This window comes from Homo sapiens, chromosome 20, assembly GCF_000001405.40.
Source record: "Homo sapiens chromosome 20, GRCh38.p14 Primary Assembly".
Taxonomy (NCBI): domain Eukaryota; kingdom Metazoa; phylum Chordata; class Mammalia; order Primates; family Hominidae; genus Homo; species Homo sapiens.
Window position 1 is genome coordinate 32,848,472 of NC_000020.11, and position 21,081 is coordinate 32,869,552.

General features: G+C 44.6%; 2 protein-coding genes and 1 long non-coding RNA gene across 9 annotated transcripts in view, besides 1 other annotated feature; all 3 read left to right on the top strand.

The window, feature by feature from the left end:
- MAPRE1 (microtubule associated protein RP/EB family member 1) overlaps positions 1-1,934 on the top strand; it is a 30,629-nt gene extending 28,695 nt beyond the window's left edge. For both annotated transcript variants that reach the window (XM_011528696.3, NM_012325.3), the window contains exon 7: positions 201-1,934. In XM_011528696.3, the coding sequence (XP_011526998.1) occupies positions 201-257 (57 nt within the window). In that variant the 3' untranslated portion in view covers positions 258-1,934. The remainder of the gene's footprint in view (positions 1-200) is intronic.
- Positions 1,935-8,160: 6,226 nt separating this feature from the next.
- On the top strand, positions 8,161-10,280 carry LOC119746555 (uncharacterized). The gene has a single exon (NR_171378.1). It is a non-coding gene; the product is annotated as an uncharacterized LOC119746555 (long non-coding RNA).
- Positions 10,319-11,131: an enhancer, noted in NCBI's record as "NANOG-H3K27ac-H3K4me1 hESC enhancer chr20:31446596-31447408 (GRCh37/hg19 assembly coordinates)". NCBI's record gives its function as "activates a minimal SCP1, AML or CMV promoter by ChIP-STARR-seq in naive H9 embryonic stem cells {active_cell/tissue: H9 hESC(naive)}" and the evidence as "EXISTENCE:reporter gene assay evidence [ECO:0000049][PMID:30033119]".
- EFCAB8 (EF-hand calcium binding domain 8) overlaps positions 10,452-21,081 on the top strand; it is a 102,923-nt gene continuing 92,293 nt past the window's right edge. For all 6 annotated transcript variants that reach the window (NM_001143967.2, XM_024451883.2, XM_024451882.2 and 3 more), the window contains exons 1-3: positions 10,452-10,535; positions 15,312-15,363; positions 19,111-19,276. In NM_001143967.2, the coding sequence (NP_001137439.1) occupies positions 15,322-15,363; positions 19,111-19,276 (208 nt within the window). In that variant the 5' untranslated portion in view covers positions 10,452-10,535; positions 15,312-15,321. The remainder of the gene's footprint in view (positions 10,536-15,311; positions 15,364-19,110; positions 19,277-21,081) is intronic.

Sequence of the window (21,081 nt, forward strand, 5' to 3'; positions counted from 1 at the left end):
TTGAGGGTAAATTTGACTGTGCTCAGTTTTTGTCTTTGGTGAGATGCAATTCTACTACCCAAGAAATAAAATAGCAGTCACCTGGCCTGTATAGAGCCAGGAAGAACCATTGTTTTTAAGAGGCTGTAAGTATGAGGAAAGTGAACTCACAGTAGAAATGGATCTTTCAGTGGCTTTCCCCTCTCATTTTCCTATTTCAGGAAGGCTTTGTGATACCTGATGAAGGGGGCCCACAGGAGGAGCAAGAAGAGTATTAACAGCCTGGACCAGCAGAGCAACATCGGAATTCTTCACTCCAAATCATGTGCTTAACTGTAAAATACTCCCTTTTGTTATCCTTAGAGGACTCACTGGTTTCTTTTCATAAGCAAAAAGTACCTCTTCTTAAAGTGCACTTTGCAGACGTTTCACTCCTTTTCCAATAAGTTTGAGTTAGGAGCTTTTACCTTGTAGCAGAGCAGTATTAACACCTAGTTGGTTCACCTGGAAAACAGAGAGGCTGACCGTGGGGCTCACCATGCGGATGCGGGTCACACTGAATGCTGGAGAGATGTTATGTAATATGCTGAGGTGGCGACCTCAGTGGAGAAATGTAAAGACTGAATTGAATTTTAAGCTAATGTGAAATCAGAGAATGTTGTAATAAGTAAATGCCTTAAGAGTATTTAAAATATGCTTCCACATTTCAAAATATAAAATGTAACATGACAAGAGATTTTGCGTTTGACATTGTGTCTGGGAAGGAAGGGCCAGACCTTGGAACCTTTGGAACCTGCTGTCAACAGGTCTTACAGGGCTGCTTGAACCCTCATAGGCCTAGGCTTTGGTCTAAAAGGAACATTTAAAAAGTTGCCCTGTAAAGTTATTTGGTGTCATTGACCAATTGCATCCCAGCTAAAAAGCAAGAGGCATCGTTGCCTGGATAATAGAGGATGTGTTTCAGCCCTGAGATGTTACAGTTGAAGAGCTTGGTTTTCATTGAGCATTTCTCTATTTTTCCAGTTATCCCCGAAATTTCTATGTATTATATTTTTTGGGGAAGTGAGGTGTGCCCAGTTTTTTAATCTAACAACTACTTTTGGGGACTTGCCCACATCTCTGGGATTTGAATGGGGATTGTATCCCATTTTACTGTCTTTTAGGTTTACATTTACCACGTTTCTCTTCTCTGCTCCCCTTGCCCACTGGGGACTCCTCTTTGGCTCCTTGAAGTTTGCTGCTTAGAGTTGGAAGTGCAGCAGGCAGGTGATCATGCTGCAAGTTCTTTCTGGACCTCTGGCAAAGGGAGTGGTCAGTGAAGGCCATCGTTACCTTGGGATCTGCCAGGCTGGGGTGTTTTCGGTATCTGCTGTTCACAGCTCTCCACTGTAATCCGAATACTTTGCCAGTGCACTAATCTCTTTGGAGATAAAATTCATTAGTGTGTTACTAAATGTTAATTTTCTTTTGCGGAAAATACAGTACCGTGTCTGAATTAATTATTAATATTTAAAATACTTCATTCCTTAACTCTCCCTCATTTGCTTTGCCCACAGCCTATTCAGTTCCTTTGTTTGGCAGGATTCTGCAAAATGTGTCTCACCCACTACTGAGATTGTTCAGCCCCTGATGTATTTGTATTGATTTGTTTCTGGTGGTAGCTTGTCCTGAAATGTGTGTAGAAAGCAAGTATTTTATGATAAAAATGTTGTGTAGTGCATGCTCTGTGTGGAATTCAGAGGAAAACCCAGATTCAGTGATTAACAATGCCAAAAAATGCAAGTAACTAGCCATTGTTCAAATGACAGTGGTGCTATTTCTCTTTTGTGGCCTTTTAGACTTTTGTTGCCCTAAAATTCCATTTTATTGGGAACCCATTTTCCACCTGGTCTTTCTTGACAGGGTTTTTTTCTACTTTAAACAGTTTCTAAATAAAATTCTGTATTTCAAGAGTATCATGTCTTCTGAAATTTGTCTTGCCCTGGGTATATGCTGTTAGGTTCAAGTGATGGGAAACCAGTGCTTCTTTCTTCAGTGAGGACTGATCTTTTCACATCCTTTACTGATTTTTCAGATGTGCTTATTTCTTCTTCTTCTTCTTTTTTTTTTTTTTTTTTTTGAGATGGAGTCTTGGTCTGTCGCCCAGGCTGGAGTGCAGTGGCATGATCTCGGCTCACTGCAACCTCTGCCTCCCAGGTTCAAACAGTTCTCTGCCTCAGCCTCCCAAGTAGCTGGGATTATAGGCACCCACCACCACGCCCGGCTAATTTTTGTGTATTTTTAGTAGAGATGGGGTTTCACCATCTTGGCCAGGCTGATCTTGAACTCCTGACCTCGTGGTCCACCCACCTCAGCCTCCCAAAGTGCTGGGATTACAGGCGTAAGCCACCGTGCTCGGTCAGATGTGCTTATTTCTAAGCTGACTTCTTTTTTCTTCATTCACATTATATTGTACAGCCTCCTGCTTTTTAAAATTCTCGTTGCTGTAAGAGGTTTTTCCTCTCGGAAGTCCAAGGCCTGGCCTATCTGCTGTGAAGCCTTTTCAGGGCATTTCCTTCTGAGAAATATAGCAGGACAGTGCTTGGCAGATGACTGTGGGGAGATTTTTTTTTTTTTTTTTTCTGAAGGTGTGATTCTTTCTTCCTTTCTTTTTTGAGACAGGGTCTCCCTCTGTTGCCCAGTCTGGAGTGCAGTGGCATGATCTTGGCTCACTGCAGCCTTGCCCTCTTGGGTTCAAGCGATCCTCCCACCTCAGCCTCGTGAGTAGTGGGGACTACAGGCATGCACCACCATGCCCAGCTAAACTTTGTATTTTTTGTAGAGATGGGGTCCCCTTATGTTGCCCAGGCTTGTCTTGAACTCCTGGGCTCAAGTGATCCTCCCACCTTGACCTCCTAAAGTGCTGGGATTACAGGTGTGAGCCACTGCACCCAGCCCTGAAAGTATGTTTCAAAGTCAGTTAACATGATCTTAATCTATAAAATAATCTAAAATTGTCACCATTTTTTTCTCCCTTATAAAATTATATGCTATTAGAAATGAGTTCAAAAGGAGACTTGCTGCCATTTTCTGTCAGAAATAAAGTTAAATGGGCAGAGATAGTGTGTTGTAGGATATGTAGAGTCATGGTTATGGATGCTCTATAAACCCAACCTGATGATCTTGACAAGGGTTGCACCCATAGTTAATGGTATGATACCTCCCTTAAAGTGTTAAATACCTTCAGAAGGAATTTGACACCATATGTATTGGTCATCTACAAGAAGATACCTTCCAGGAGTGCAAGGAGTTTGTGAAGATACTGTTGGCTACTGTCAATTGAGAAGTTACCTTGGTAAAGAGAGAAGCCAAAACTGTGGGTATCTGACCAAGTGCATTGACCTGGCTCTTGAATTTGAAGCACATACAGTCTTTGCTGCTTGGTTTGCTTGGCAGGTTCTGTGTTTCATGAAGGATAGGTAAACAAATGGGTTCTCTGGCTCAATTTGGATCATTGTTCATGCTGATGATTCTCAAACTGATGGGCTTCAGAATCACATGGGGAACTTGTTTGACATAATGTATTTATAAAAATTCATCACCAGAGATTCTGAGTTTGGAGGTTGAAAACCTGCATTTTAATTTGGGCCTTATCTACATGTCTGCAATTTTAAATAATAATTCTGGCAAGGGGAACATCAGACTTGAGTCCTCTTGCAGGTCTCTCCTGCTTTGTGAGTTTTGAGCTATTTGACCTCTCTTGTTCTTACATGCAAGACAGAGATGATGATTTTGGCTGACGTGCCTCCCTCACTGGGTACTTGTTGGGATTAGAAGGAGCTGATGGACCAAAAAAAAACAGCACCACAAAGCTAAAAAGCTCTGTACAGACAAGAGGCATTATTTATGGCACAAGTTCTTCAGATCTGGTCTGAAATTCTGTTTATAGATTAGAAAAAGCTTAGGACAGGGCTTTTGTATCCTCAGAATTCGGAAGGGCATTCCTTCAGACAGGCTTTGGGTGTTTTGTAAAATACACCCAAAGTATTTCCTTTTCAGCATGGTATATGGACAAGTAGAACTCCCTTATGTCTTCAGGCTCTTATGTTTATCCTGTTTTTGTTTTCTTTTAAATGAAGATTCAATGTCTCAGATTCATTGATTAAAAACCCATATTTTCTTCAAGATTTACTCTCTAGAATGTGAAGGGTTTTGAAAAGGAAGCATTTTTCTTTTGCCCTAGCCAAGGTGATCCTCTGTAGTTTTTCTTTTAAGGATTGTTTTAGAAGATTGAGTATAAAGGACTCCTTTTGTGATGTTGACCATAGTTCATTGCAAAGTCCACAAATAAAAATCCAAGCTTTAGGCCTGATCAGCCTAGTCAGATTAGCTTGCTAGCATGTGGGTGACCCAAATCTGATTGTTGACAACAGAGAACATTGCTTTGAAACAAGCTGAACCTCAGTCTGTGATCAGTGTTGTGAACCACCCGTCATTTTTCTGGTCTGGCACTGTTGTAATATGTCTTTTTTTTTTTTTTTTTTTTTTCCCCAGACAGTCTTGCTCTGTCACCCAGGCTGGAGTGCAGTGGCACGATCTTGGCTCACTGCAACCTCCACCTCCCAGGCTGAAGCAGTTCCCGTACCTCAGCCTCCTGAGTAGCTGGGATTACAGGCCTGTGCCACTATGCCTGGCTAATTTTTGTATTTTCAGTAGAGATGGAGTTTTGCCATGTTGCCCAAGGTAGTCTCGAACTCCTGGCCTCAAGTGATCCACCTGTCTTGGCCTCCCAAAGTGCTGGGATTACAGGTGTGAGCCACCACTCCCTGCTTGATATCATACTTTTGGATTCACACATTTAGTTTGTAAAATGTCAAAACCAGATGAGTTCATATTTATTTCTGTATCTTCATGACGCTTGCTGCTTTTTTTCTCTTCATTTTCACATGCGAGGGTATAACTGAGTGTTCAGGGTTTTCTCTGAAAGCCTGAAGGGATTGTGTACTTTTACATTGAACTTGACTGCAGTTAGAACCATTAACCTAGATGACTTCAGCCAAATTATGTATTGTTTTTGTTTTTGTTTTTTTGAGACAGGGTCTCCTGTCACCCAGGCTGGAGTGCAGTGGCACAGTCATGGCTCATGACAGCCTCAACTTCCTGGGCTTCAGCTGTCCTCCCACCTCAACCTCCATAGTAGCTGGGACTGTAGTGCACACCACCATGCCTGGCTGGCTAATTTTTTTTTTTTTTTTTTTTTTGAGACAGAGTTTCATTCTTGTTGCCCAGGTTGGAGTACAGTGGTGCCATCTTGGCTCACTGCAACCTCCGCCTCCTGGGTTCAAGCGAGTCTCCTGCCTCAACCTCGAGAGTAGCTGGGATTACAGGCGCCCACCACCACACCCAGCTAATTTTTGTGTTTTTAGTAGAGACGGGGTTTTGCCATGTTAGCCAGGCTGGTCTGGAACTCCTGACCTCAGGTGATCCACCTGCCTCGGCCTCCCAAAGTGCTGGGATTACAGGCGTGAGCCACCATGCCCGGCCAATTTTTTGGTATTTTTTGTAGAGACGGGGTTTGCTATATTGCAGGCTGGTCTTGAACCCCTGGGCTCAAACAATTTACCCATCTCTTCCTCCCCAAATGCTGGGAGGTGTGAGTCACTGTGCCTGGCCCAAATTGCTATATAGCCGTGACTTGTGAAGGTCTGTTCCCCCTTTGGTTTAATCTGATTTGGGAAGTAATGTTACCTTAGTCCTTGGAGTGCAGAAGCTTTCTCTGTACTCTATTGAGGTTGTATCCAGTAGCTTCATTAATTTGGTTATCTAGGTGAGCAGGTCAAGCCTTAGAGTCAAATTTCTAGGCTCCTCAATCTAGAACCTTAAATCTTGAGGTGCGTGTGTGTATCAAAATTGTAAATAACTCTCGTTTCCTTGTATTGGAGGCTCTCAGGTTCTGAAATGTGAAATGGAAATAGCCTTCATAGACACGTTTCTGAGTGTGAGGAGGCAGTTCTTTGTCCTGTGACCATTTGAAAGCAAACCAGGTTACCCACCAATGCCTAGAACTTTGTAAGTGGCATCAAGATATAAATTTATAATTGTAAAATAACCTATCAGCAGTTTGGGGCTGGGTGTCATGGCTCATGCCTGTAATCCCAGCACTTTGGGAGGCCAGTGCAGAAGGATTGCTTGAGCCCAGGAGTTTGAAACTAGCCTGGGCAACATAGCAAGAGACCCTGTCTCTATTTAAAAGATTTTATATATATATATGATCATATATAATATATATAAGATATATATGATCATATATATAATATATATATATATGATCATATATATCTTATATATATATATGCAGTTTGGAATTCTATTTGTCTTGCCTTATTTGCTTTTTAAAAATTTCTACCTTAGTTTTTTCCTGGTTTACTTTGAGTGTTTTTTTGTAGTCGGAGGAGATTGTTGGTGCGGCTGGGTGTAGGTATGAGGCAGAGGAGGAAGAGTAATTTATTCCATCTACTGAGCCTTTCATTTACTTTCTGTTTTAGCAGTAGAGTGGGATGTCGGAAGCTTTTGTTGGGTGAGAGTCAATCTGTCAGGGTAAATCTTAAAAAGCTGGATTTGTGGTTTAGTTACTAGTTACTGTGTCTCCAGTGGAGACAAAGATTAGTTTTTAAGATTTAGCCTTAATGGATGATTCACAAATTGCAATGCAGAGTATTGAAGTTAAGTCCAAGGTCAAGCACACAAGTGGGTAAAACTGAACATATGAAATGGGTGTGTGGCTGGCACCCACCTCTGACCTTTACTGAAATAAATGAGGAAGACGGTGCTGTAAGTGGAATGCCACGGACCAGGAGTTAAGACCAGAGTCCTCTGCTAGGCCCTGCATCTGAAGTCTGCAGAGCATGGCTTTTCATTGGCTCAGTGAGGAGTTGAGTCCTGGTTCAGAAAAAGTTACCGAGGTCTGTAAAAGTCAGTAGGATACCGGAACAAGAAAGAGTGGGAGAGTGTACAGTTCCCAGCGAACATTGCCAGTGGAGGCTAATTTTCACCAGTGAAGGGCGATTTTGATAGAAAAGCACAGTGTCTCAACTACTTGTGGTTTTTGATTCTGAAAGAGGAGGCTTTGGCAGGAGCAATAATACACGTGGCCTACCACCTGTTTGGCTTTTTCCCCACAGGTTGCAAGCTGCAGGGAGGGCCTTGCTAATTCTAGTACCTCCATCCCCGAATCGTCTAAATGTATTTTACCCAGGACCTGTCATGGTTTATCTGAGTGACCAGTTTCCTTTCCTCTCTTGCTTATTTATCATGTTCATATTTATATTTTTCATAATGGGGCCTATTTATATATTTTGAAGTAGTTCTAGTGATTTTAAGATCCAGCAAAACTTCAAGGTCATCTGGATTTTGGTGTTCTATTTAAGTTTTCTAACTTGATACAGTCTTTTTTTTTTTTTTTGTATTTTGTATGTTTTTCTACAAAATGTGAGAGAGTTAAGCATGTATAATTACATATGACTGCTGTTTTCACTTTGAAATTTTAAATCCTGCTTGGGAGAATGGAATAAGCTATTGTGTTTTTTGCAGGCAGCTATGGGATATCCCAATTTGTCCCTCCCTCCTCCTTAATTTTGAAGCCTGAGAGAGGAAGTAATAATTTTCTTTTTTTTTTTTTTTTTTGGTAGGGATGGGGTTTGACTATGCTGTGCAGGTTGGTCTGCAACTCCTAAGCTCAAGTGATCCGCCCTCCTCCGCCTCCCAAAGTGCTGGGATTACAGGCCTGAGCCACCGTGCCTGGTCTGAAGAAGTAATAATTTTAAGATTCAGTGTTGAGTGAAATAAATGTATTCTTAAAAATTTCTAAGAGTGTTTAACTCTCTGACCTAATATTTAATATTTTCCCCAATCATTAGGAAGTGCTTTTTTGTTGTTGTTGTTGTTTTTTTTCCAGGCAGGGTCTCGCTCTGTCACCCAGGCTGGAGTGCAGTGGCATGGTCACGGCTCACTGCAGCCTTGACTTCCCGGGCTCAAGTGATTCTCCCACCTCAGCCTCCCAAGGAGCTGGAACTGCTCAGCTAATTTTATTTTTGTAGAGACAGGGTCTGGCTATGTTCCCCAGGCTGGTCTCAAACTCCTGGGCTCAAGCAGTCCTCCACCACTCCTGGCCAAGAAGTGCCTTTTTTTTTTTTTTTTTTTTTAAAGTAGCTGCTGAACACAGGAGAATCTGCCTTTTTCTTGAATCGTGGTTTTTTTGTTTTTTTTTTTTTCAAGACGGAGTGTTGCTGTTGTCGCCCGGGCTGGAGTGCTGTGGTGCGATCTTGGCTAATTGCAACCTCCGCCTCCCAGATTCAAGCGATTGTCCTGCCTCAGCCTCCCGAGTAGCTGAGATTACAGGCACGCACCACCGTGCCTGGCTAATTTTTGTGTTTTTAGTAGAAACAGGATTTCACCATGTTGGCCAGGCTGGTCTCAAACTCCTGACCTTGTGATCCACCTGCCTCGGCCTCCCAAAGTGCTGGGTTTACAGGCGTGAACCACTGCACCCGGCCTGAATCATGGTTTTTTGAAACCATTGGCATCTGAACCTGTAGCTCTCTCTGGTAGTGTTGTGTGGTTTTAAATGTCATGTGAGCTGAGTTACTGACCTCAACCTACTGCCAGATGAAGGTGTGATCCTGTGATACCAATCTTGAGGGTCCCTTCTAGTTTTAGCAGTCAGTGACTTCTCTTGTTTATTTTTGTTTGAAAAAGTAAAAGGCTCTCTTTTTGGCTATAGAGTTGCATCTTGAAATTTTTGACAAATTACATAGAGCTGAAGAAGGATACAAGTTTTGATATCTTAAAATCACAGGGTTGAAGCTTGAAAGGACAGTATTGGCATTGCAGCTAAGTGGGAGTGTGAGGAAGCGCCTTCTCTAGGGCAGGTAATTGCATCTGTTAATGTGGTCCTTGGGCCCCTGAGTTGCTGCCTTCCAATCAGAATTCCCTTAGCATTAGCCAGTGACGCCTGAATTAATCTCAGGTAGGACTTCTAACTTTTTTCCAAAATTATTTTTGTGCAGAGGTTTATCTAGATTTTTCTTCTAAATGTCCTCCTCCCCACTTGTTTTATTATTACTGTTTTTTTCTCTCTTTAATTTTTTTTTTTTTTTAATAGAGACATGGTCTCACTATGTTGCCTGGGCTGATCTCAGACTCCTGGGCTCAAGTGATCCTCCTGCCTCAGCTTCCCAAAGTGCTGGGATTATAGGCGTGAGCCATTGCGCCTGGCTCTGTTACTGTTTTTCTAACCTGAGTTACTTAGGATCATATTTTCATTCTTTTTTAAAAAGATGGGAGTTTTCTGAACTTTTCCTTAACTAAAAAGTGGAATGCATCTTAATATTTTCCTTTTTTTACTTGTGTTTCTCCCCAGGGAGGGAAAAACATATTTATTGTGACAGAATTTAGCATATTTTAGGCCACATTAAAATACTGATAAATGTATTAATCAGTGAAAATAGGTTATAGTGAAAAATATATACCATTTGATTAATAAAAATGTTATTGGAAAAATGCAAGAACTGCTGTAAGAATTGCTAACATTGTGTTGGAAAATAAATATACTAAGCTAAGAAACAATGGGAAACTGTCATATGTAGGGCCAACAGCCTTTTTTTTTTTAAACCCTTCCAATTTATTAATATCTAGTCTAATAAACCCTGATTTATAGGACCTCTGCACCTTTTTTGACTTTTTATTCATCCATTCTTAATATTCTACACTATGACAAAATCCTTAAAACTCCATTATTGATGAAATGGGAACAGACTTTTGTTTTTGTATGTTGGTGTTCTCTGAGTGGTGAAGGCCCAGGGAGAATGTTTTGTTTGGTGGTCACTTAGCATTTGAAAACATCCACTTCCTTGTGACTTAGCTGGGTATCTTTTAACATCTGGAAGCCACGTCCCTGATTGAAATCTCTGGAGACAACTTACCTTTCACCAACTTGTCTGCCAAATTGCACCATGGACCAAGATTGCAGTGGCTGCATCAAGTCTAGGCCTGCCCTGAAGTCTGGATTTGTAAGTCCCCCATTTCAAATGGGGCAGAAGGCAGAGGAGCAGAGGAGCCACTGTGCCTTTCGCTGTCCTGGAGCCAGTTGGCCTTCTGGTTTTGGTGAACCCTGCTTTTATAAGAGGACTCCCTGGCATCTTCCAGTTTCCCGCTACTTGTTTTATGTATTATTTTATGTCTGTGTTTGTCCTGGAGTGCTGTAACTCCTTTCACTGTCTGCTGTAAGTTCAACTTCTTCAATAAAAGAAATGTTTCAAATTGGATGAAAAATGGTTCTGTGATTATGGTTTGTGGGACGGGTTCTGATGCTTCATTTATGTTCTTCATACGGAATTCTGTCTCATTTCCCTAGTTCTAAATATGACCAGCAGACCCAGAGTTCCATCTCGACTTCATAAAGGAGCTGTCTTGGACTGGGAACAGCTGCCAATGTCTTTGTTGAGATGGGAGTTGGAAAGTGTTAGCACTTTGCCAGACTTTGCCAGCAAGATTAACTGAGGAGATCAAATTGAGTCAGGGTGAGTGAGGGTTTTAGGTGAAAGTTGCTCTCCAAAAGATTGGATACCTCTGCTGAAGACCTCTGCCTGACCTCCAAGGCTGGAGAGCAGCTCTTATCTGTGTCCTGGCTGGCTTTCAATGCATGTATCCTTAAGTCATCTGCCTCTACAAATTCGTACAAACCACTCGTTCCCCTCTCATCCCTAGCATGTTCCCCTAGTGGCTGCTCTGAATTCTCACCCCTGTTCTGGATGGTACTCTCCCACCTGCCTTGCCCTGCCCCTCTTCCGTCAGCTCCGGACAGGTCAACTTTAGGGAATAGATTGAGGCAGATGGATGTGACTTCTGATCTGACCTGTTCTCCAATTCTAAATATCAACCGAGTTTTACATCTCAGCCTTCCCTTCCTTCCCTTCAGAGTTGGAGGAATGGTACTTGTCTTGGCCTCTCCCCTCTTGCTTTTGCCCTTTTCTTTTGGGTGGTCTCTGTTGGCAGCAACCAGCACTTTTTTTCCCATTTGGCGTTTTACCTCTGTTCATGAACATACATAGAACCACTTTCTCCTGGTGAAAGACATTTATCTTACAAAATATTTAGTTTTGAAATAATTAAAAATATATAAATAGTTGTAAGACTACTACAAAGAACTTCCCTTTGTCCAGATAGACTAATTGTGAACATTTTGCCACATTTGTGTTATTATACATGTTACTTGTTAAACCATTTGAGAATTACAGACATCATGCCCTTTTACCCCTAAATACTTTTCAGTGTACATTTCCTGAAACAAGGACATTCTCATAACCACAATACAGTTATCAAAAGCAGAAAACATTAATATGCTATCTAATAATATAGAGTCCATGTTCAAATTTTACATAATTTCACCAAATAACAGCCCTTGCAGCATTTTTGTTTTTTCCCAATCGGATTCAATTCAGAATCGTGCATTGCCTTTAGTTGTTGGGTCTCTTGAGTCACCTTTCATCTCTAACAGTTCCTTAGCCTTTCTTTGGTTTACATGGCATTTTATTTTGGCCAGGCGCGGTGACTCACGCCTGTAATCCCAGCACTTTGGGAAGCCAAGGCGGGCGGAAAGCACTTGAGGCCAAGGAGTTTGAGACCAGCCTGGCCAACATGGAGAAATCCTGTTTCTACTAAAAATACGAAAGTTAGCTGGGCATGGTGGCGTGCACCTATAATCCCAGCTACTGAGGAGGCTGAGGCATGAGAATCATCAGAATCTGGGAGGTGGAGGTTGCGGTGAGCTGAGATTGAGCCACTGCATTCCAGCCTGTGACAGAGTGAGACTCTCAAAAATAAAAGCAAAAAAAAACCCAGTTATTTTGTAGAATATCCTGTAATGTGGGTTTGTCTGTTTCCTTATGATTAGATTCAGATCATGTATTTTTTTGGCAATAATACTACTGAAGCATTGTGCCCTGCATGTATCGGATCAGGAGGTGTGTGATGGATGTCATTTTGTTCCATCGCTGATGGTGGTAACTTTTTTTTTTTTTTTTTTTTTTTTTTTTTTTGAGATGGAGTCTTACTCTTTTGCCTAGGCTGGAGTGCAATGGCACAGTCTTAGTTCACTGCAACCTCCACCTCCTGGGTTCAAGCGATTCTCGTGCCTCAGTCTCCCGAGTAGCTGGGATTACAGACGTCAGCCATTGTGCCCAGGCTATTTTTTCATTCTTTTATAAAAATTGGCATCATAGTGTGCACCCTTTTCTGCATCTTGGTTTTTTTATTTATTTATTTTTTTGAGACAAGGTCTCATTCTCTCACCCAGGCCCTGGAGTGCAGTGTTGTGATTACAGTTCACTACGGCCTCAAACTTCTGGATGCAGGTAATCCTCCCATCTCACCCTCTTGAGTAGCTGGGACTACAGGGGAGTGTCACCATACCCAGATAATTTTTTGTATGTTTTGTACAGATGGGGTTTCACCATGTTGCCCAGGCTGGTCTCAAATTCCTGGGCTCAAGCGATCTTCCCACCTTGGCCTCAAGTGTTGGCATTACAGGTATGAGCCACTGTGCCTGGCCTGCATCGTGCTTTTCTTATTAGTACTTCATGGAAATCTCTCTTAGCTGCTGGAAGTCAGATTCATCCTTCTGATGTTTGGGTGACGTCCTAGGTGCAGATGCACTGATTTGTTCATTTCTGTGTCTATAATGGTTCACTTTTGGTTTTTGCTCCTATGAATGATGCTGCAGCAATCACTCTTCAACAGTGGCCTTTCACAAAGGAGTCATTTAAATTACTACCCACCATCCTACCCACTCCACTGAAACACATTTTATTTTATTTTTTTGAGACGGAGTTGCGTTCTTGTTGCCCAGGCTGGAGTGCAATGGCACAATCTCGGCTCACCGCAACCTCCGCCTCCTGGATTCAAGCAGTTCTCCTGCCTCAGCCTCCTGAGTAGCTGGGATTACAGGCATCCACCACCACACCCAGCTAACGTTTGTATTTTTAGTGGAGATGGGATTTCTCCATGCTGGCCAGGCTGGTCTTGAACTCCTGACATCAGGTGATCCGTCTGCCTCGGCCTCCCAAAGTGCTAGAAGTACAGATGTGAGCCACCGCGCCTAGCCGTTGAAACACATGTTAAAGATTGCCATGAGCCTGGTGTGGTGGCATGTGCCTGTTGTCCCAGCTACTTGGGAGGCTGAGATGGGAGGATCACCTGAGCCCAGGAGTGCAAAACCAGCCTGGGCAACATTGCAAGACCCCATCTCAAAAGATCGCCATGAACCCTTTTTTAATTAAAATAAAAATCAGAGAATTGCATGATTTAGGCTATAAACATCTTCCATAATCTCACCTACCAGAGATGACTGCTATTAATTTTGGAGTATATGTTTCCAGGCTCTTTTTTATGCATGTGCCAATATGCACATGCATATATTCTTAACAGAAATGAACTTAACATTTTACATACACTTTAGTTTTTTCACTGGTAACCTCTTAATTGCCTTTTTCAGTGGCTGTTTCTTTCCCTTATCACCTTAGGTCACTTTGTAGCGTCCCATTCTCCTAGCTGTCTTGTGTGTTTCTCCCTCTTTCTGTCCTCTAAATGTAGCCACTCCTCAAGTTTCAGTCCCCAGATTTCCAGATACTTGTTTTTATTATTTCTTTTCTTTTTTTTTTTTTTGAGACAGGGTCTCACTCTGTCATCCAGGCTGGAGTGTAGTGGTATGATCTCAGCTCTCTGCAGCCTCAACCTCCTGGGCTCAAGTAATTCTCCCACCTCAGCCTCCTGAGTAGCTGGGTGTATAGGCATGTGCCACCACACCTGGCTAATTTTGGATTTTTTGTAGATGTGGGGTCTCAATGTTGCCCAGGCTGGTCTCAAACTCCTGGATGCAAGCGATCCTCCCGCCTCGGCCTATTTTTTATTCCTAATTGGACAGCCTAGTATCACATGCATTAAAACCACTTTCCCTCTTTGCTCCTTTTTCTGAAAGTGGTTCTGGCATTTCTGTTAGCTTGCTTCTTGGCTTCCAAATCTCCTTCCCTTAGGCTGTCCTCTCTCCTTTGGTCCTTAGGTGTGAGCTGTTGCCAAGACACTGCTAGATTAGAGCATTCTTGGGTACCGTTCAGTCTTCTCCCTCCAGCTTGTACTGATGAATTTTATTTTTTATTTTTTTGGGACAGAGTCTTGCTCTTGTTGCCCAGGCTAGAGTACAATGGCTCGATCTCGGCTCATGGCAACCTCTGCCTCCCAGGTTCAAGCAATCCTCCTGCCTCAGCCTCCCAAGTAGCTGGGATTACAGGAACCTGCCACCAAACCCGGCTAATTTTTTATATTTTTAGTAGAGACAGGGTTTCAATATGTTGGCCAGGCTGGTCTCATTTGAACTGTTGACCTCAGGCAATCCTTCCGCCTTGGCCTCCCAAAGTGCTGGGATTACAGGTATGAGCCACTGCACCTGGCCACTGATGACTTTCATAGTTGCCCTTCATTTTGTTCAGACTGTCTGGCCAGGTATTCAAGATTCTACTTTTTGCTGCCAATTTTTTTTTTTTTCCTTCTCTGCCATGATTCCTCCCTCCCCTCTGCCTCCAGGACCCTTCAGATCAAGCCAAGCTGGCTCAGTTGGTCTGCCCCCTGTGCGTGTCTTGGGCTTAACTATTTCTTGGCTGTCCCCCTGCCATCCTAGAGTGCCCTCTGGACTCTTGCCTGGTGGGACTTGCTGACGAGGTGGATTGGTGCTCCAAAGACCCTAACAAAACGCTGTCATCCATCTCATATGGAGGCCTTGCTGACCCAATAGAAACGTTCTCTTTATATTCCCAGAGCAGAGCTCTGTTCTGTCTGCTCTCCCGAAGTCCTGGCTTGCAAGGGCACTGGAAGGTGGGTGGGGAGGGTATATGCAGTGGAAATGAGGAGCCCTCATTTTTCTAATCTGTTTATTGTACTTGGACTACCACATGGCCTCCTAAGATTCTTCTACTTCTGTAGAAAGTGTGATCCCCTTTAGGAAGCCTCTGGCATTAAGTCAGGAGTAAAGAAACTTGTGAAACCCCATGGCTTCTGCAGGACAACTCCTCTCTATCAGGGGAAGAAAGGCTCAAGTGCAAGCTTGGCAAAAGCTTTTTGCTGGAGAAATCTCTGGGAAAAGGAATGCTCATCCACTGCTCGCTGGGAGTGTCCATGGGCAAGGGGAAGCCACCCTCTCCCTTGACCTTGACTTCTTTTCCACCTTTCTGTGACCTGGCTAAGTCAGCCTTCCACGTGGTCCTTACAACGACTGGAGTTAAGTTGACTATGATTCCCTATTCTAGGTCAAGGCTAATGTCTTCTGAAGACTTAGCAGAGATCCCTCAACTCCAAAAGGTAAGAAAGACAATTATCTGAACTAATAAAGGGTGGGGCATTCCAGAGTCACCCAAAACCTCACTTACCAGCATGGAAGTATAGGTGTTTCTGCATCGGGGAGGGGGTTGCATACTCAGATATTTACTGGGCAGGTAACTTAAGTGTATTTTTTTTTTTTGAGACAGAGTCTCGCTCTGTCGCCCAGGCTGGAGTGCAGTGGCATCATCTTGGCTCACTGAAACCTCTGCCTCCTGGGTTCAAGCAATTCTCTTGCCTCAGCCTCCTGAGTAGCTAGGATTACAGGCATGTGCCACCATGCCCAGCTAATTTTTATATTTTTAGTAGAGATGGGGTTTTACCATGTTGGCCAGGCTGGTCTCAAACTCCTGACCTCATGATCTGCCCGCCTCAGCCTCCCAAAGTGCTGGGACTACAGGCGTGAGCCACCACACCTGACCTAAGTGTACTTTTAAAGGGCTGCCTGAGACTGGGTATGGTGGCTCACACCTGTAGTCCCAGCACTTTGTGAGGTGAAGGCAGGAGGATCGCTGAGCCCAGGAGTTTGAGACCTGCCTGGGCAACATAGTGAAACCCCATCTCTACAAAAAGTAAAAAATAAATTAGGCATGGTGGCACATGCCTGTGGTCCCCGCTACTCCAGAGGCTGAGGTGGGGGGATTGCTTGAGCCTGGGATGTCGAGGCTACAGTCAGCCATGATCTCGCCATTGCACTTATCCTGGGCAACAGAGCGAGACCCTGTCTCTAAAAAAACAAAACAAAAAAGCTACATGAGTCAAATGCAACACACCCGAGCCCCCTGATGTACGGTCTGTACGTGGACTCCACTTCTCTACTTAATTTTGTCCAGCAGGTTGTGATAATAGTGGGATGGGCTGTAAGAGTTTTTATCAAGCCAGGTATGTATCAATTGTCTGTTATGTGCTTGGGGCTGGGGAGTATAGAGATAATTAATACAAATTAGATTAAGTTAAGTTAAACATGCCTTTGTCTTTGAAGAGCTCACTATGAGACAAGGAGTAATAACAAGAGCTGTCATTTATTGTGTAATTACAGTTTACTGGGGCTTCACATGTATTCAGGTGTCATTTAGGTCTCAACCACAGCCCTGCAGGGTAGGGACTGTGGCTCTCTGTTTTGCAGATGAGGAAACCTGTGGCTCAGGGAAGTGATGTGATATGCCTAAGTTAAAATAGCCTGTAAGTGAGGGAGCCAGACAGAATTCCAACCCAGAGCTCTGGGGCTCTGCAGCCGTGTGCTTCCCCTCATGCCTTGCTGCCCACATGTATGGACAGACAAGCACACTTACTATGCCTTGAGGGGCAGATATGAACAAAGACCTGGGAATATGGAGGTGGCAGTGATGACTGTCATCTGAAAGTTATGGAAGAGCTCCTTGGGGGAGGTTCCATTTGAGCGAGAGTCTGAAGAGTGGGTAGGGGTTCACCTCTAGGGGAGATGGGTTGGACTGTGTATGGGAGACACACGTGAGTAAGCACCGAATGCTTGCTGGGCTTGGGGATGGTGGGGAGCAGGTGGTGTGCCTGGAACATGGTGCATGCTTGAAACTAGAAAGATAGGTCAGAGCTGGTTAGGAAGTACTTTGAATGCTACACTCCGGAGTTGGGGTGAAGAGTGTCAGAAGCAGGGTAAAGTCATTGATCAGATTTGCTGCCTAGAAGCCAGGCGCAGTGGCCCATATCTGTAATCCCAGCACTTTGGGAGGCCAAGGCAGGAGGATCACCTGAGGTCAGGAGTTCGAGGCCAGCCTGGTCAACATGGTGAAACCCTGTCTCTACTAAAAATACAAAAAATTAGCCAGGCGTGGTGACTCATGCCTGTAGTCCCAGCTACTTGGGAAGCTGGTTCACGAGAATCACTTGAACCCAGGAGGCAGAGGTTGCAGTGAGCTGAGATCGCACCACGCTCCAGCTGGGTGACAGAGTGAGACTCTGTCTCAAAAAAAAAAAAAAAAATTTGCTGCCTAGAAAGATGACTGGTGCCAGTGTTGGGAGGTGGATGGGAAGAGAGGGTCAAACTCTGGTCTTAGTGGTGGTCATTGTACTTGTCCCAGCAAAAGACTACAGTTTGGGGCGAGCAGGGGTGTGGGAGAGGAGGCTTATATGTAGGAGATGGATCCCAGGAATAATTAACTGGAGGGACGGTAGAATGCATAGGAAGAAGAGGGAAGAGCTGAAGGCGGTGCTGAGATTTCTAATTTGGAGTCTGGGTGTGTAGTGAGAGCCTTCACGTGCTCCTCTGTTGGGCTCCGTGGAGGCAGGGACCCTCACTATGTTCACGGTGTATCCACAGTGCTGTATCCACAGTGCCTAGCACTCAGTCAATGTGTGTAGACGCTGGGCTAATGAATGAAAGGTCACAGGAGGATGAGCACATTTGCTCTTTAGTTGGGGCTAAGTGGGGGAGAGTGAGCAATTTAATCCCTTGTCTTTTGGCTTTTTGAACTAAAGTGTTTTCAACTTCCCAAGGCCCAAAGCAATGTGTCTCAGTGAGCAGGACTGCCTGCCTGCCACTCAGGTCATCTAATTATCCACGTTAGAGTCTTTTAGGGAAGGCAGCCTTTGATGGCCTGAGCTTTGGTGACCTGACACATTATGCTAAGTATCTGTATCAGTCTCATGGAGGGGTGAGGAGAGGAAGCATCATGAGGCCTGGAGGGGTGGGGAAGGCTTCTGGGGGGATTTGGGAAGGATGAGTAGAAGGGGGAAGTGAGGGAGAACCCCCAGTGGAGGGGTCTGTATGAGCATTGGTGTGTTGGCAGGGAGGCCAGGGGTGGGGCAGGTGAGCTCATCTGACCGAGATGGGACATCTGGGCTGGTCAGGACCAGGTCAAATTAGGGAAAATGGAGCTGGATTCCCTGGGGTTTTCTTCCTTCCTTCCTTCCTTCCTTCCCTCCCTCCCCCTTCTTCCCTTCCTCCCTTTCTTCCTTCCTTCCTTCCCTCCCTCCCTCCCTCTCTTCCTTCCTTCCTTCCCTCCTTCCTTCCTTCCTTTCTTTCTCTCTCTCTTTCTTTCTTTCCTTCCTTCCTTCCTTTCTTTCTCTCTCTCTCTTTCTTTCTTTCGTTTCTTTCGTTTCTTTTTTTTTTGAAGTCTTGCTCTGTTGCCCAGGCTGGAATGCAGCGGCACAATCTCAGCTCACTGCAACCTCCACCTCCTGGGTTCGAGTGATTCTCCTGCCTCAGCCTCCTGAGTAGCTGGGACTACAGGCACATGCCACCACACCCAGCTAATGTTTTTGTATTTTTAGTAGACGTGGGTTTCTACCATGTTGGTCAGGCTGGTCTCAAACTCCTGACCTCAAATGATCCGCCCTCCTCGGCCTCCCGAAGTGCTGGGATTATGGGCATGAGCCACCATGCCCAGCCCCCTGGGGTTCTGAATTCTGACCACTGAAGATTTGAAATGATATAGTTACTGAACTGAGGTCCCTTATAAATGAACACCCCATTATGAGTAAGGTAGGACTTGGCTGTATCCTCCCTGAGCCTCAGCTGTGGCATCTGTAAAAAGGGAACAATGGTTCCCTCTCCAAAGTCGGAAGAGTCTAGGTTTTTCTTTATCTTCTTAGGTGTAAAAATGGTTAAGAATTCTGTATTTCTGTCAGTGACATCATAACACTACTTACCTTGTTCTTTCTCAAAGAGTCTCTCTTTAAATCATGTGCTGAAAATGTTTGGCTCAGGAAATTGAAACGCTCAGTCCCTGGTTCTTGTTATATTCGTTCCAGCTGTCCATCCCACATGGCTTCCAGAACAAGGAGGCTGCTAGCTCCCCAACACCATCCATCACCCTTAGCCAGGTGCCTGACCTCCAGCCTGGGTCCCAGCTGTTTACTGAGATACACCTGGCCAAGATAGAGAAAATGTTTGAGGAGGACATCAACTCGACTGGAGGTAAGGCCGCTCTGTAGGCTCGGTTTTTGTGTGAGTTCTGCAACAGGGCAGGACCGAGTACCTGGGGTGTGTGGAGGGTTCAGACATAATAAGCATTTTTTTTTTGTTTTTGAGACAGGATATTGCTCTGTCACCCAGTCTGGAGTGCAGTGGTGTGATCACCACGGCAGCCTCAACCTCCCATGCTCAAGCGATCCTCCTGTCTCAGCCCCCAGAGTAGCTGGGACTACATGCACATACCACCACTCCTGGCTAATTAAAATTTTTCTTTTTTTTTTAGAAACAAGGGCTTGCTATTAGGTTGGTGCAAAAGTAATTGCAGTTTTGCTATTAAAAGTAATGGCAGAAATCACAATTGCTTTTGCACCAATGTGATATGTGGTCCAGGCTCGTCTGGGACTACTGGGCTCAAGTGATCCTCCTGCCTTGGCCCCCGGAGTAGCTGAAACTACAGGCACATGCCACCATGCCTGGCTAATTAAAAAAATAATAATTGTAGAGACGAGGTCTTGCTATGTTGCCCAGGCTGGTCTCAAACTCCTGGGCTCAAGCAGCGCCTTCTGCCTTGGCCTCCCAAAGTGCTGGGATTACAGGTGTGAGCCACTGTGCCCAACCCTGATCAGCATCTTTGCATCTAGTGTCTCCTGTAAAACTTTCAAGCATTATGTAGGTATTGCAAGCATATTGGAGGCTATTTGGGATCTAGAAAATTTTTAAAAATACCCCTAGTCCAAATACCCACATGTAACCACTGTTAGCATTTTGGTGTATGTATTTTCTTCCAGTTTCATATGTATGGTTTATTATCTGTTGCTGTGTGATAATACCACAGTCTTAGTGGCTTAAACCAATGCACGTTTATCACCTCACAGTTCTGGTGGGGCAGGAGTCTGGGCATGGCTTAGCTGGCTTCTCTGTTCAGGCTCTCACAAGGCTGCAATCAAGTTGTTGGCTGGGACCGGTGTGGTGGCTCACACCTCTAATCCCAACAGTTTGAGAGGCCAAGGCGGGCAGATCACTTAAGGTCAGGAGTTCAAGAGCAGCCTGGCCAACATGGTGAAACCCCGTCTCTACTAAAAATACAAAAATTAGCTGGGCGTGGTGGCACGGGCCTCTAATTCCAGCTACTTGGGAGGCTGAGGCAAGAGAATCGCTTGAATCTGGGAAGCAGAGGTTGCAGTGAGCCAAGGTCATGCCACTTTACTCCAGCCTAGACCACAGAGTGAGACTCCATCTCAAAAAAAAAAAAGTCGTCAGCTGGGGCTGTGGAATCATCTTGGGGTTGACTGGGGAAGAACCCACTTCCAAGCTCACTCAGGTTGTTGGCAGAATTCAGTTCCTTGCCCCTGTGTGACTGAGGGCTTCTGTTTCTTCCTGACTGTTGGTGGGAGGCTACCTACAGTTCCTGGCCACGCAGGATTCACCAACAGAGCTGTTTGCAAGGCTCAAGCCAACAACAGGGAGAAAAACTCCAGCAAGATGGGTGTTGCAATTTTTTTTTTTTTTTGAGACGGAGTTTCACTCTTGTTGCCCAGGCTGGAGTGCAATGGCACGATCTTGGCTCACTGCAACCTCCGCCTCTGGTTCAAGCGATTCTCCTGTCTCAGCCTCCCAAGTAGCTGGGATTACTGGTATGTGCCACCACGCCTGGCTGTATTTTGTATTTTTAGTAGAGACGGGGTTTCTCCATGTTGGGCAGGCTGGTCTCGAGCTCCCGACCTCAGGTGATCCGCCTGCCTTAGCCTCCCAAAGTGCTGGGATTACAGGCGTGAGCTGCTGTGCCTGGCCAGGTGTTGCAATCTTAT